The 15,828-nt window shown below is 42.9% G+C and overlaps 1 long non-coding RNA gene across 4 annotated transcripts in view, besides 2 other annotated features; it reads right to left on the bottom strand.

The window, feature by feature from the left end:
* The window catches only part of LOC124909489 (uncharacterized), a 123,033-nt gene that overhangs the window by 73,033 nt on the left and 34,172 nt on the right, over positions 1 to 15,828 (bottom strand). The gene's annotated exons all lie outside the window — the stretch shown is intronic.
* Positions 3,110 to 3,349: an enhancer, noted in NCBI's record as "active region_19758". NCBI's record gives its function as "activates an Ori minimal core promoter by ATAC-STARR-seq in GM12878 lymphoblastoid cells {active_cell/tissue: GM12878}" and the evidence as "EXISTENCE:reporter gene assay evidence [ECO:0000049][PMID:35858748]".
* Positions 7,242 to 7,311: an enhancer, noted in NCBI's record as "active region_19757". NCBI's record gives its function as "activates an Ori minimal core promoter by ATAC-STARR-seq in GM12878 lymphoblastoid cells {active_cell/tissue: GM12878}" and the evidence as "EXISTENCE:reporter gene assay evidence [ECO:0000049][PMID:35858748]".

Raw genomic sequence — 15,828 nt, 5'->3', positions numbered from 1 at the left:
TGTTTAACATCTCTAAGCCCCGGTCAATACTTTGATGCCATCATGTTCTAATACAAGTGATGAACCTAGAGAGTCTCCTGGAATTTGCTGCTGTGGGGTTTAATCTGTATTAAAGTTCTTATCTTTGATGGAGAAAGGTTTGTGGGGGAAGCCCTGATCAAACCCGACAGTTCTGCCTACAGAACACCAATCAACTCAGTGCTTGGATCTGGAAGACATTTCACAGAACTGCAGAGTTTTTGCACTACTGAAATGACCTTGAAAACCCAGGCAAACAGGCTCCAAGGTAGAAAAGGCATCTTCCATTTGGGAAAGAAGAAATGCTTTGGCCAGACATTGCTCAGAGGTCAGAGGTTCATTTTTGGTAATCTCAGTTAAGTCCCTCACTAACAGGACCCCTCACCAAGGTGCTGTGAAGTCCCCAGTGGCTGGCTTCAAGTGTTGGTGGGGTAAGACCTTATATTGGTAGGTTGCCTGTGGGGTGACAGATTGAGAGCAGGTCATCACTCCCACCTATGCCCATGGAAGACATTACTAATCAATCAGATGCAACCTCAAACCTCCTAACACTGATCTCAGGCAGCAACTCACTTCTGCACACCCTACTGTGACAAGGAAAATCCCCCAGGCCAAACCCAGAAAGCAATTTCCTCATCAACAGCTTTTGGACCACAAGCCTAGGGTCACCGCTAAAGAAAGTCAATTACAAAAGCTTTGTGCTTATAGGTAGCATTCAGAAGTCTGCCATTAGTCATGTTTAGAATTCCAAGAATGGACTTGTATGAAGAAGGCTGGCTCAACAAACTTGGTAAAAATACCAACAAAACCCAATACACTGGGCCCTTTGTTTATCTGGGCTGTTCATACAGAAATGTTCCAATTCAGAAGTATTTACAAAGAACTGAAATGACCATTCACCAAAGACCTCTTGGGTTGCTCTAAAGTGATTAAAATGGAGGGACTGGCCACTAGAGATGACTGATAAAACTTGAATTATTTGCAAGCCAGAACCTTCCTGCCAAACTGCATTCCACAGATAACTAAGGAAGTCACACAGGGTCTAAAACTGCTTGTGTGGTGGCTGGCTCACCTCCTCGACCCCCGCCACAAGCCTCCCTTGGTTAATAAAGGTGGAACCCAGAGACCATTCTGAAGACTGCATAAGACCCTCCTACCCCTTTGATCCGGGGAACCTGATGCTTAACAGAGGAATGGGCATCTGAAGCTTTCCACAAACATGTCCATGCTGTTAACTGAACGGTATATAAAAAATGTGGATGCTAACAATACTTTTGGACCCCAGCTAGGTTGCAGAAATCTAGCAAGGTTTCTCCAGGTCCTAAGCCCTCCCCTATGGAGATGGAGCAGGTTTCACTGGTTACAGAGAATCAGCAGTGGACACCAGTAATCAGAAGATATCATTCACAGCCAGATTTTTTAGGCACAGTGCTGTATCACACAGTAACTTGAAACTAATAAGAGGTAATAACGTGTTAAAATTTTAAGAATAAGATTGGCTTCTAAAAATATCATTGCCAAGTCTACCCATATAATCACATCCCTTGCATTCCGACGAGCCTGCTGGAGTGGGAAAGGGGGTGAATTTTGGTGACTGCCAGGGAACTGCTCATGGTGGGCAGCCTACTTTGTCTATGCCATGGCCCTTAGTGGTTCCCATTAATCGTGTCCTATTAATACTGGTGGCAGTTACTAAGTACCTTCATGCTTTATTTTCATATCCAAGATGTTTGTTCTTAGTTTTGTTGGAATCAAAGGATACCCATGGAAGTTTATTTCACATGTCAATATTACCTAGTGCCTATGTCTGTGGTGGGGGTAGAGGGACAAGAATTTTCTCTGAAGCAGTCAGAATTCTTTTGATGGAGAACTTGGAACTGGAAGAAGTAGGTCATTGCTTGGCACAGCTGGTTACAGCTCAGCCTGGGGATCCTAAGGTCCCACCTGGCTGGGAGGACTTCCAGGTTCAGGTCAAGTCTATGCATCTTTCAAAGCCTTCTCCTCTCAATATGGTTTTCTCAGGTGTTTTTAGTACAGAAAGGAGAAGGCACTCCTGGTCTACCTGAATCATGGTGCATGTGGAGGCTGTAGTTCTGCCTGCAAAGCAGTTGGGTTTTTGGATTTACAAAGCAAGTGCAAGCAACAAGGGCAGACTTTCCAGGGGCTGAGTCTCAGAACTAAGAGGTCGAACCACCGAAAATGACCTTCACAATCATGAATCTATTGTCTTATTCTCACCCTTTGACAAGGAAAAATACACAGTGAAAAAAACTGGATTATAAAACACTGTTCAACATAATCATAATTTAGTAAACCAAAAATGTATGCAAATACTTATAGAAAGAATACTGAAACAGCAAAATATTAATGGTGGTCCCTTTGACTTTCTCCCTCTGCCATTTTTGGATATAGAATGATAACACTAGCTGTGTTGTACCCCCTTCAGGAAGTTCTTCACTCTATTATGCACATACAGAGGCTAACAATATACGGAAAATGTTACATCTCACACCCTTAGACTTCTGCAGGAAATAACCCAAGGGCTACCAAGTTCACACCAACATACCATACAATGCTGCAAGGAAGATTATCATACTTGATTGTAAAATTGATACTTAGTTTGAAGCCCTCTTAACATTTTCATCCATTCCACCAAAAATTAATCTTCTCTGTTCTATATTAATGGTGACTGGCTAACAAAGGAATCTCTACAATTGATTATAAAATTGATACTTAGTTTGAAACCTCTTAATATTTTCATCCATTCCACCAAAAATTAATCTTTTCTGTTCTATATTAATGGTGACTGGCTAACAAAGGAGTCTCTAAACTTGTTTGAGCACATGACCTCAATGGTAAAAGAGACTAATCATAACACAGACTTACGCATATTTATTCATAAAGTGGGTGCATGTATACTTACATGTTAAGTCCATTATCAAATGTATGAGAATGGAACTGTTCTAGTCCAATGGTCTGTATTTTTCCTGTACCACACTGGGTTATCTTGTGTGTGCCTGACTTTGGAGATCTAGAGTTTAAACACCAGAGAGAAAAAAGTGGCCAGCATAATATGGCTGATGTTAATTTGCTACCTGGGAGGCTTCCTGGGCAGGGATCCAGAAATCTCCACCATTCACCCCCTCGCATGCATAAGGGCTCCACCAGCCAGCACCTTGGAAACCCCCAACCAGATGTGTACAGTGGACTCAACCATCTGCACCTGGCAGGTCACCAGCAGGAACTCATTCTTTCCTGGGCTGAAAGTCCCTTCCCACAGAGAGGCTCAGGGTGGCTGTGACTGGGGACTTCACAGTTGGCTGAGGGCCAAGGAACCTCTGCGAATGAAGCACTTCCCTATTTTTTCATATGGTTTGTCTAGAAGATGACTAAATAGAAAAGCTTTGGTGATTCTTCTTTTTCTGCTCAGCACTCAAATATAAACAGTGGTCAGAGTAATAATAATCATAGGTTTTGGAATGTTTTCATAAAAATTTGATGTCAATTAGGACATTCAGGAAAGCTAAAAACACCTCGGTGTAATGCCACATCCAGATTTGCCTTTAAAATCGTGAATAAAAAATGCTGAGAATCTGCATGGTTTTCTAGTTCCTCCAAACAAGTTCTGAGTGACAGGGGATAGCTCATTAAGTTCAATTCTGGGGAGATTAGAAGTTTAAAAAATAATCAACCCTAAACTAATGTGACTCCAAAACCAAGTCTCATAAAATGTCTGTTAACCTTCAATTCCATCTTTGCCAAGTAGAAGCTCTAAGAGTGTCTGGGGTTCCCAGCACCTCATCTAACATCCAGTGCTAGCAGAAAGCAAGAACACAGTCCCTCTGCTGAAGAATGAATGAGCAAACGAATGATCACTTGATAGCCTGGAGTTCATTATTGAGGTACAGACGTAAGCCTATATGTTCTAGTGGTTTGTTTTAGAGGCTTTATTTATTTATTTATTTTTACTAGATGCTGGAAAGACAGATGAAAGTAATGATGCCTTCTAACTTCAAAGAGCTCACAGACCAGTGAGAAAAAAAGAAGGTGAGCAGAGAACATCAACCTAGGGTGCTCTCACGAGGGTCTGAACACGTTGCAGGAGGTTGTGGAGGAATGCTTAACATGGGTGCAGAAAGGTTTCGGTGGGGGCCTGGCCCTTGGGGCCAGGTAGTGATGGGTGAGGGAACTGGTCAGCCTGTGCAGCTGGGGCTGGAGGGCCATTCCCAGCACAGCAATCAGCTCGTGGGGTGCACAGAAGCACAGTGTGACTGGGAAGGGTGACAAGTCCAAAGTGCTTAGGCCCAAAGGAAAAGGTTGCCTGCCTGGGAAGCACCACGCAAGCTAAGGCATTTTCATTCTACCCTGCAGGCAGTGAGGAAACTAGAGGTGGTTTTAAGTAGGACACAGAGTCTCCTTCCTTACTTTTTTTTTTTTTTGAGATGGAGTCTCGCTCTGTCGCCCAGGCTGGAGTGCAGTGGCCAGATCTCAGGTCACTGCAAGCTCCGCCTCCTGGGTTCACGCCGTTCTCCTGCCTCAGCCTCCAGAGCAGCTGGGACTACAGGTACCCACCACCACGCCCAGCTAATTTTTTGTATTTTTAGTAGAGACGGGGTTTCAGTAGAGACGGGGCTTCACCGTGTTAGCCAGGATGGTCTCAATCTCCTGACCTAACAGGTGATCCGCCCACCTTGGCCTCCCAAAGTGTTGGGATTACAGGCGTGAGCCACTGCTCCTGGCCTCCTTCCTTACTTTTTTAAAGCATGACTGGATTTGAAAAGAAAAAAAAAGATTACCAATGTGAAAAAAGAAAATACCCAAAAATAATGTATCTGCTAAGATAGGTTAAAATATAATCTTTGTTCTTCTATATGAAGATATCAAATTCTAAATCATTAATAATGGGGCAGAATCACCTTTTAATTGATCAGAATTAATCCAGTGCTGAGCACAGCTATCTGGACATGGTGCACACTCTGTGGACATCTGTTATAGTGAACAATATGAGTTTAAGCTTTGGAGAGAACCAAGTTAAAGGGGTCTCACTTTTTATGGGTATCATAACTGAACACTACCTTGAGAAACTGACTACAGATGTCTAGAAATGTGTGCTGGATAATGTTTCAATGGAAACCACTGTATACAAAGAATGACTTTGATTTCTCAAGAAGAATATATGAAAACATAAAGCAACAAGTCCTATTATGTTAAAACCAGGAAAATAACAGCACCGTGCATGCTCATGAAATACCACAAAAACGACTTCTCTGGTTTCCCCTGTCCTTATAGCCATTAAGGAAAAGGCAGCATATTCCTCAGAGTTTCTGGCCCAGAAACCCACGCCTATTGGTTGGAATGACCTGCCATCTGCCATTCTGAGTGGCATGCTTCGGTGACACTAAGAAGGGAGGTTTGCATGTTGGCTACAGGGTGGTGAGGTTTATGGGTTGGAAATTACTGGAATTCTCTGCATGTTCTAGTCTGTAGGAAAGTAACAGGTAGGAACTCTGAGGAAGGTTTTCTCCATGCTGCAGAAAGGGCTCAACTCCATGAAGTCCCTATACCAAAAGCAGGGCTGTGTCTAGCGGCTGTGGGAGGCAAGAAGGTAGGAGTTACCCTTGGTAGGACTGGCCCATCATTTAATGTGCCCTGGACACATAGCCACGTGGGGAGAAGAGGACAGCTGGTGCTCTGCTCTCTACTGCCCGCTTCTAGGTACTCAGAAGCACCAGAGTTAGCTTCCTAACCCAGCGAAATCCCCTCATCATATCCAGCCCCAAACACTCACCCTGCATGTGCCAGCCAGCTGACTTTCATAACCTGCGTTTTGCCCGTCCAGATGTCAATGAAGATGATGTCAAGTGGATTTTTACAATCCTCAAACACTGGCAGGCTTCTTCCAAAATTCGCAAGTAAACATTGGAGGTAACTTAATGAAAGTTTGTTGCCTTGCTGCTTTGACATCAAACACTGGCCCTAAAGTCAGGCTTTGCTTTTATACGGCTACTTTGAAAATATAAATAAAGTTCTCTTCTACCTCCAGAACCAGAATCTCCCACCTGTACCCTACATGGAACAACTTGGAGCAAGGAGAGGAGGCTGAAATGGACAAAAGCTTTTTTTCCTGACTAAGAAATCCAAGATGGAACAAAAACCCAGTTGAGCACTACAGATTGAGTCAAGGACTCCAGTTTGCCCAGAATGGTGGGCTCCAGTCACAGAGATCACCTTATTCAGTGAGGGATCACTACAAGGTAGGAGGGGAAGACTTGAACTTCCAGAGAGTCAAGGGCAGACAGAGTTCTGCAATCCTGTCCAAAGCAGTAGCACGAAGTACCACAGCTGGAAAGCCCCTTACAAATAACGGTGCAGCCCTTTCATTTTACATATAGGCATATGTAAAATGCCTTCCTTCTTTGGGCCTCGGTTCCCTAATGTGACAAGTGACCAGGGCAGAGTACCGAGGATAAGAATCTTGGGTATCTTGGTTGTTGAATAATTCTTTTTACCAACACACCAAGCTGCTTCCAGATATGGATAATCACTTTTCACCTCCCAGCTCAGAGAATGCCTTTAAAACATATTCAAATCCTATGCAGTCTAAAAGCTTGACAAGAATTCTTGTTTTGGCAAGATTCATGAATTGATAGTCCACAGAAGAGCACATTCAAATGGCCAACAAACACAAGGAAGGATGCCCAACCTTAGGGGTTGTCAGGGAAACGCAAGTCACAGCAACGATATGCTATCGCTGTCACTCTTTTTAATTTTTACCAATCTGATAGGTGAGAAATCCCACTGCTGGTGGGTCAGGCTGGGTATGGCTCAACATCACGGGTGGAAATGTAAATTCATTCAATTATTTAAAAAGCAATCTGATGACATAGGTTTCCACTTAAAACACACAGTCCCTTACACTTGGATCTCACCTCTGACAGTCTTTCCTTTGGTAGACACTGTTGGGTTGGTTTCCTACTCAGCATCCATTTCCCCTCTCCTCTAACAGAAAGCTAGCTTTCTTATGTATCCATCCCTACCCCCTACACAACTCACCCGATCTTCACCTACAGCTTCTCCCAAGGACCTATCACATCTAAGAGTGATCCTATCCCCTTGTGCATGATTGGCTTGGGAATACAGGCCTCAGCCATCACTGCTGGCATTCTCCTGGCCCCATGGTTAGGTTTAGGATTGGACATATAACCTACCCTGGACCAGTGGGACTACAGCAGAAGTTTTCTAGGGGCTTCTGGGAAAGATGGTCCCTCATTCTTCCAGGAGACACCAGAAGTCCCCCTCCTCCTTTGGCTGTTATTGCATTCAGTGGCCAGGCCAGCAGTGACCGCACCTACCTTGCCTTTTGTCTGAGAATGAAGCACAAAAGGAGAACAAGAACTTACATGAAACCACATCTGCATGCACTCTTGTCACTGACCTTCCGTGCCAATGAATCCCTTTTGTTTTCTTTGTGACTTACGAATATTTTAAATACAGAGAAAGGTACATGGAATAAAGTAAAAAATACCCAAGTACCCACAACTCAGCTTCCACAAATGTTCACGTTTTGCCACATGCTCCAGTTTTCTGTGCTAAATCAAACTTTACAGACACATTTGAAACTCCCTTTGCAGGTTTTAACTGACTTCATTCCTCTCCCTCCCTCTCCAAAAGCAATCGCTTTGTGAAGTTGGAAGGTAACCTTCCCTTCCTTTTTAGTATTTATATTACATATGTATTAGGTTGAACGATAAGAATTGGCCAATATCCACCTTTTTACCTACATATTTTACCTACACATATGTATTGCATATAGCTAAACCCCATATACCTACAAAAGTTTCTTTTATAAATGGCATCATTGCAGTCACCACTACAATTTTGGGGTTTACCCATATTGATCCCTATCATTTTAACAGACACTCTGAATTGCATTGATTAGAGGTGCCATAAAGTATGTCTTAATCTCCTACAGATGGATATTCAGGTTGTTTTCCTTTTTTTTTTTTTCCTGTCACAGGTGCTGTGATTGACATCTTGGTGCATCTTCTTGTGCAAATAGAGGAGTTTCTCCAGAGTAGAAAACCAAAATGGAGTTGCTGGGTAGTGGGTAGTCTTCAGATTTGCTAGACGCTGCAGCTCCGTCTGAATTTAAAAGCCTGCCATCCAGGTATGAGGTTCTACTTCAGTGCTTCCTCTCAGTTTTGTCAGATGTCAACATGTTAACTAATCTGTTGGCTGTGAAATGGTTGCTTTTGGAGGCTTTAATGTGTATTTTCCTGATTACTAATTGAGCATCTTTTCATGTTTATGGATTATTCAGTTTTCCTTTTCTGCAAAGAGCTTTTGTCTATACTTTGGCCATCTCTCTACTGGTTTGTTAGTGATTTTCTTTTCTTTCTTTTTTTTTTTTTGAGATGGAGTTTCACTCCTGTTGCCCAGGCTGGAGTGCAATGGCACGATCTCGGCTCACTGCAACCTCCGCCTCTCAAGTTCAATAAATTCTCCTGTCTCAGCCTCCTGAGTAGCTGGGATTGCAGGCACCTGCCACCACGCCCAGCTAATTTTTTGTGTTTTTTAATATAGACGGGGTTTCACCATGTTGACCAGGCTGGTGTTGAACTCCTGACCTCAGGTGATCCGCCCGCCTCGGCCTCCCAAAGTGCTGGGATTACAGGCGTGAGCCACTGCACCTGGACTGTTTGTTAGTGATTTTCTTACTGAATCCTGGGAGGCCTTTGGGTAGCCTGAATTAGTTTTTTGTTACATGTTGCAAATATCTTCTCCCAATGAAGGTCTTGTATTTCCACCTCTTAAAAATGGTTTCTACTGTCATTCGTAAGTTTTAACTTTTATGTTATGAAAATTATTAATTTTTTCCTTTTATCTTTGTGCTTTTTGTATGTGTCTCGTGTAAGAAATCTTTCCCTCCCTGAGGTCATAAAAATATCTGCCTGTTTTTTTGTAAACATTTTAAAACTTTGTCTTTCACATTTAGGTCTTAGATCCATCTGGAATTTATTTTTGTTGTGAGATATGAGAAAGCTATCTACTTTCATGTTTCCCTATATAAAAAAATCAGTCTTTCTAGCACAGTAAACTGACTTGGCTCCCTTCTCCCACGATTGACAATGCCACCTCTGAAATATAACTCAGATGTGACCCTAGGCCAGAAGGTCAGACTAGAGAAACCAAATATGACATGTTGATCTCTGAAAAATACCATATTAAAAAATATCTTTATGAAAAAAAGAAAAACCTATTTCATTGGGCAAGACTATCTTCTTTATTCTTTGTCTTGGTTTTTCTTGGCCCTTTAGTCTTCTACAAGAACCTTAGGATTCCTTGTTAAATCCTGTGAAAAACTTTTTTGACGCTTTTGTTGAAATTTTACTGAATTAACATATTAATCTGGGGAAACTTGCCATTTTTACAGGATTCATTTATATTGCCATTTATTTAGTCATTCTCTCTTGGCTTTCAAAAAATTTTAAAGTTATCTCTATACACATCTTACTTGTTATTAGATTTATTTTTGAGTTTCTTAGTATTTAGAATAAAATCTTTTACATTTCATTTTCTACTAAGAAGCTGCAAGTACTTAGTGCTATCAAACTGGTATCCATCAAACTTTTTAAATTAACAGAATAGTTCTAATCATTTAGATTATATTGGGTTTTCTAAGTAGACTACCACATGGTTTGAAAAACATGAAATTTCTTCCCTTTCTAATCTTTATGCCCCTTATTTCTTTTCCCTGTTGTGTCGTAGTGGCTGGGACTCCCAGTACACAATGCTAGAAAGAAGTGGTGAAGTTGGGCACCTTTGCCGTATTTCTGCGTGTTTCACCATTCAGGATGTACACTGTATGTTTTTGGTAGATGCCCTTTATTAGGCCCTCTCATCACATTGGAAATAACTTTTTTAAAAATTGGGAGTAGGTGTCAAATTTCTATCAAAAGCTCTTCATACATTTATTGAGATGACTAAACACCTTCTTCTTTAATCTGTGACAGCAGTCAATTCTACCAGTAGCCCAGCTATGAAATCAGAATTTCCCAGATGACTGACTCACACCAGAAGGGCAAGAGAAGATGAGCCGGCATGAGCTCTAAGGTGCTGAGGTAGGCAAGTTCCACTGACCCCATGGTGCCCCATATCCTTTATTCTAGCAGCCAGTTCAACAAATAAGGAATGCTGACTTTCTGTCCACTTCTCAGAGATGCTACAAACCAGAAGGGGAAAAAACACAGGCTGGTTTCTTACTACCTCCAAGTCCCAGGCTAGAAAGAGAAAACAGACGTCTTTAGTGCAGGTTTTGCTCTTGGCATCTTCTTCTCTCTTTGCCTTTAGAGCAAAGGAATAGAAGAGATGGAAGAAAAACATTATTTTTTTCATCTGCAGCAGAGGAAAGTCACTTATGCTAAGAAAAGGACTTCAGGCCAGGCACAGTGGCTCACGCCTATAATCCCAACACTTTGGGAGGCCAAGGCAGGTGGATTGCTTGAAGTCAAGAGTTCGAGACCAGCCTGGGCAACATGGTGAAACTTCATCTCTACCAAAAGTATAAAAATTAGCAGGGAACGGCGAAATGTGCCTACAGACCTGGCTACTCAGGAGGCTGAGCTGGGAGGATAAAATGTGCCAGGGGAGGTCGAGGCTGCAGTGAGCCATGTTTGCACCACGTCACTCCTGCCTGGGTGACAGAATGAGACCCAGTCTCAGAAAAAAAAGAAAGAAAGAAAAGAAAAGGACTTCAGAAGTAAGCCAGTCCAGGGGAAAGAAGGAAGGGGTGGCCACTGACAGTGATAACATAATGCTGCAAAGAAGTGTCTCCGTGGATGACCTGAGGACATCCACCAGCGATCAGTGACCTTGTCTTTCTAAGGGTTATTTGTAAGGAAAATTATTGACTCAATAAGCATTTGCTAGCACTCGCTCTAGGCCAGAATCTTGGCTAAGCACTGGGGATCCAGCAGTTCCTGCCTTGCAGGAGCATTGTCTAGTGAGAGACTGCAACTCTTAAACCAAGGCTTTAAGTCCTACAACAGAAAAATGCAAAATATTATGGAAAAACATGAAAAAATGGGAGGAAGCTTAACTCTAAGTAAAATAATACAAATTTCACAGAGCATCACGGTTTAAGTCTTCTATCAGAAACACTGGCAGAGAAGTCTAATAGTGTGAAATGCATCAGAGAGAGAAACAAGGAAAAAATGGAATGTAGAAGAATTAAGGGTCAGAAACAGTTGAGAAGAAAATAAAAGCCAATAGTTACCATTTACTGGGCTGGGCACCACTGTACATGCTCTGTAGCCACTAACACATTTAATTCTCTCCACTTCCCCAAGGTGGTATTATCATCATTCCCATCAGCCCCACCGAGAAGACAGGAACTAGCTGAGAGGCACAGGTGGTTCGGTGACCACCCTCCTAACACCTGGCTCTACTTCCCAGAGAGGACAAAAGGACCCGAAGAAAACACATCCTCCTGGGCACACACGGGCTCTGAGCTGGAATGAGGGGGCTGGTTTAGAAGGAGGGCAACTTGCTCATACTTAAACCAGGCCTCAAACCCTGCTGCTCTGTCTGAATTACTGGGTGCAGACGGCCCTATCGCCATGCAACGCTGGCCCCAAACTTGCACAACCCATGCAGTGAACCAGAGCCCTTGGGTTAATTGGCCTCACACACCTTGGATGCCAGTTCATGGATTACCTAATCCAGCCTGCTCCTTGAGGGGCTGGCGAGCCCTCACTGCATCCTACCCCAAATGCCTTGCCCTAGAAGTCCTCCTAACCACATACACTGAGGAGTTCTGGGTAAGACAATTTTTTCCATCTTGTTAAATTTCCCATCAGTGGGAATGCACTTGGGATGCCATTCAACCTGACTGCCTTTAATCAGGTTGTGTCCTCAAGAGGCAGTGGTGACATCTGACAGGCCCAGACCCTCTACCCTAAATGTGTGTCCACTGACCCGATGAGATGCTGGGAGGCAGACATCCTTGGGTTTCAGTCTCAGGCCTGCTCTTAATGGCCTGTCTCCCCAGGCAGACAACTGGGCTCAGTGTCATCTTTGTAAATCGGGCAAGCTGGAAAAATGGACCAGAAGTTTCTCCCATGCCTCCAATCTAAATTGTGCACCTTAACTGAGGTTGTCTCTCCCTGTGCTTTGGCAACAGAGCCCAAGACAACTTGCTAAGTGGCTGTCATCAGCTTCTGTGCTCAGAAGTGTTCCTCTCTGGTAACAGAACTGGGGAAAGCCTGAGTCTGTGGGAGGGGTGTGAGTGGGTAGGTGAGGGCTTGTAACTCGATGACAGCCAACGGTGCCTTCCAGCCCTGAGCAAAATGCATGACCAAAACCAGAAAGCAGCAATGCCAATTCTCTGCCGATTTTAAATGTAAGCTACAAACAGGAGAAGGTATGTGGTCAGTTACTGATCCCCAAGTGTAGTCGTAAAGGAAAAAACAAACAAAATGAAATCCAATGGTTTTCTGTCCTATCAAAGGATATTGGCAGCTTTTATTTTTAATTATCTAAGAGAAAATATGCAGAATTAAAGTTCTGGGTGCAGGCAAAACTCGAATCCAACTCTGACTTCACCCTGACTTGCTATATGACCTTGGGCAACCTGTTCAGGTGCTGAGAGTCTTAAAGTTCTCAGCTGGAAAGGTGGGACAGCTATATCTCCATCAGAGGGTGCCCACAAGCATAAAATGAGATCATACATAAAAAGTCCCCAGCAGCTGCTTGTATTTGAATACCCAAAAACGAATGCAAAATTAATGTATAGGGAAATGTAAAAGGAGCCTTTGATGTGGCATATCACATAGGTGTGTCCATATGTAAGTACGTACACTAACGGTCTGTGTGTTTTATTGCTCGCACAATAGACCTCAATTTAAAAAGTTACAGGAGCAGATGCACATAGCTAGAGACATGCATGAGGATTTACTAACAACGAACAACCACTATTCATTCTTGTGATAAACAGAAACAACTTAAACATTCAGCAGTAGGTGAACAATTAAATAAATTCAGGTATCAGGTAGCTCCACATGGTAGAATATTATTTATCTATTAACATTTTGTGTTCAGAGAGGATGCTTAATGTGAGAACATGCTCAAAATAAAAGTGGGAAGAAAACAGGATATAAATCTGTATGTAGGGCTGACCTCGAATTTATGGCTCATATCTGTACAGACCAAGACTAGGGGAATTAGGTGAAGGGATTATCAGTCATATCCCTAAGGGGTATGACTATGGTTGGTGCTTCTCTTTCCTTCACAGTTTTCTGTATTTTCCAAATTGTCTAAAATGAACATATATTCCTTTTAGAATTAGAGAAAAACACATAGTAAAAAATGAATGTGTGCCGCATAGCTCTTGTAAAAAGTGGTGATGTTATAGAAATGAGGCATTCACTAAGGCACTGCACTCTCCAAAGGGCATGGTGATTGCTGTGGAACAGAAAAACATCACAACAGAGCCTTTGACTCCAACCCCAAGACACAAAAGCTGGATACTGGATTTGAAGAATATCGAAACTGCTGACTAAAAGCCTAAAAGGAATGGCCTCTGCAATCTGATTGGAAAATGAAAGACAAGATGGAAAGAGAGAAAAGCCTTCAGAATCATTTTAGAATTTTACAAGAGAAGTTTCTCCATGGAAAAAAAAAAACCTTGTTTCTAAACTATTATTACTATTGTTATTATTATTTGAGGCAGCATCTTGCTCTGTCACTCAGGTTGGAGTGCAGTGGCGTGATCATGGCTTGACCTCCTGGGCTCAAGCAATACTCCCACTTCAACCTCCTGAGTAGCTGGGACTACAGGTGTGCACTACTACACCCAGCTAGTCTTTTTGTATTTTTTGTAGAGATGGGGTTTCTCCATGTTGCTCAGGCATGTCTCAAACTCCTGGGCTCAGCCTGTTTTAGCCTCCCAAAGTGCTGGGATTACAGGTGTGAGCCACCACGCCCAGCCTCTAAACAATTTTTTTTTATGTAACATACAAGTTAGAGAATCATTCAGGATCACCTTACTGTTGTCTTATTATCATTATTTTGTAAAACAGTAAATTGTCTGAAATGTTGGCGACAGCCTAAGATTTCCGAATTTAAATAATGAGAAATTGAAGTTTACCTTCAAATAAAAAGAATATTAAATCCCTGTAGCTATGAGTACATTTACTGTGTGGGATTTTATAGTCATACCTTCCCTCTTTTAAAAAAGATCTGAACTAGAATGTCATCTTTGATTTTTGGTTTTTCTATCATAATGTCTAATGTTCCTTAAAGGGATAATATTAAAGAAGGCCAAAAAGCGAATTCCCTCTTATCCCTGCAACCTCACCATGAGACACTGGGGGAGGAGGGACTATTTAATTATTGAGGCAGAGTGGCTGAAAGCCAGTACCCTAAAAGCTTCCTATACCCACCAAACAAGATGCACCCTACAGCCCACAGCCACATCGTGTCTGTCCATTGTGCTGGCCTCACCGTTGCTCAGACATCAGGTCAGGCTGAGATCCGACCCCACCCAGGAGCCGCCATGGGCTTGGGGAGCCTACTTCATACACCCCTAGAAGAAGGGCAGCGATCTCAAGAAAAGTGTGGGAAAGCAAGGACAACCAGACATGGGGGACACCTCGCAATTCCAGGGACAGGACAGGAAAGGCGCACTGATGAAAAGGTCCAGTTACGTGAGCTGATTTCCCACAGACAGTAACTGTGCAGGTCTTCATTCAAGGCCAGCCTGGCCAACATGGTGAAACTCGGCCTTTACTGAAAACACAAAAATTAGCCGGGCATAATGGTGGGCGTCTATAATCCCAGCTACTCGAGAGGCTGAGGTGGGAGAATCGCTTGAACCCAGGAGGCAGAGGCTACAGTGAGCTGAGATTGTGCCACTGCACTCCAGCCTGGGAGACAGAGTGAGACTCTATCTCAAAAACAAAACAAAACAAAAATTAGCCGGGCATGATGGTACATACCTGTAATCCCAGCTACTCGGGAAGCTGAGGCACGAGAATGGTTTGAACCTGGGAGGCAGAGGTTGCAGCGAGCCGAGATTGCACCACTGCACTCTAGCCTGGGAGACAGAGTGAGATTCTATCTCAAAAACAAAACAAAACAAAACAAAAATTAGCTGGGCATGATGGTACATACCTGTAATCCCAGCTACTCGGGAAGCTGAGGCACGAGAATGGCTTGAACCTGGGAGGCAGAGGTTGCAGTAAGCTGAGATTGCACCACTGCACTCCAGCCTGGGCAACAGAGCAAGACTGTCTCAAAAACAAACAACAACAACAACAACAACAACAACAAAAGGTGGGCTTCAAAGCTTTTGATCTTTTCACAATTTACAATCTGGGCTGTGGTGGTTACATTTATATTCAAAAGGAGCTTTTCAGGAGAGAAGTATCCCTGGCCCCTGTCTTTCATGAAAACTGCAAATGCTGTCATTATTCATCTTATGAATTACCAGGAATGCTTCTTTCCTTCCTTCCTTCCTTTCCCATCCATCCATCCATCCATCCATCCATCCATCCACCCACCCACCCACCCACCAATCCACCTAGTCTTTATTTAGTGTACCACTCACTGTGCTGGGTGCTAAAGACACAAAGCTGGATTTGCCAAGATTCCTGTCCTTAAGGAGATCAGATTTGAGTGAGGAAGACAGGCATGAATAACAGAAATCACCTGTACCATGAGACCTACAACATCCTATGATAAAGAATTACAGGTCTTGGTGATATTGGAGAGGAAGAAGTCACAATACTGATGGGGATCTGGGAATCTTGG

The sequence above is a fragment of the Homo sapiens genome, chromosome 3 (genome assembly GCF_000001405.40).
Source record: "Homo sapiens chromosome 3, GRCh38.p14 Primary Assembly".
Taxonomy (NCBI): domain Eukaryota; kingdom Metazoa; phylum Chordata; class Mammalia; order Primates; family Hominidae; genus Homo; species Homo sapiens.
Note: the sequence above shows the minus strand (reverse complement) of the source record. Positions and strands in the feature narration are given on the sequence as shown.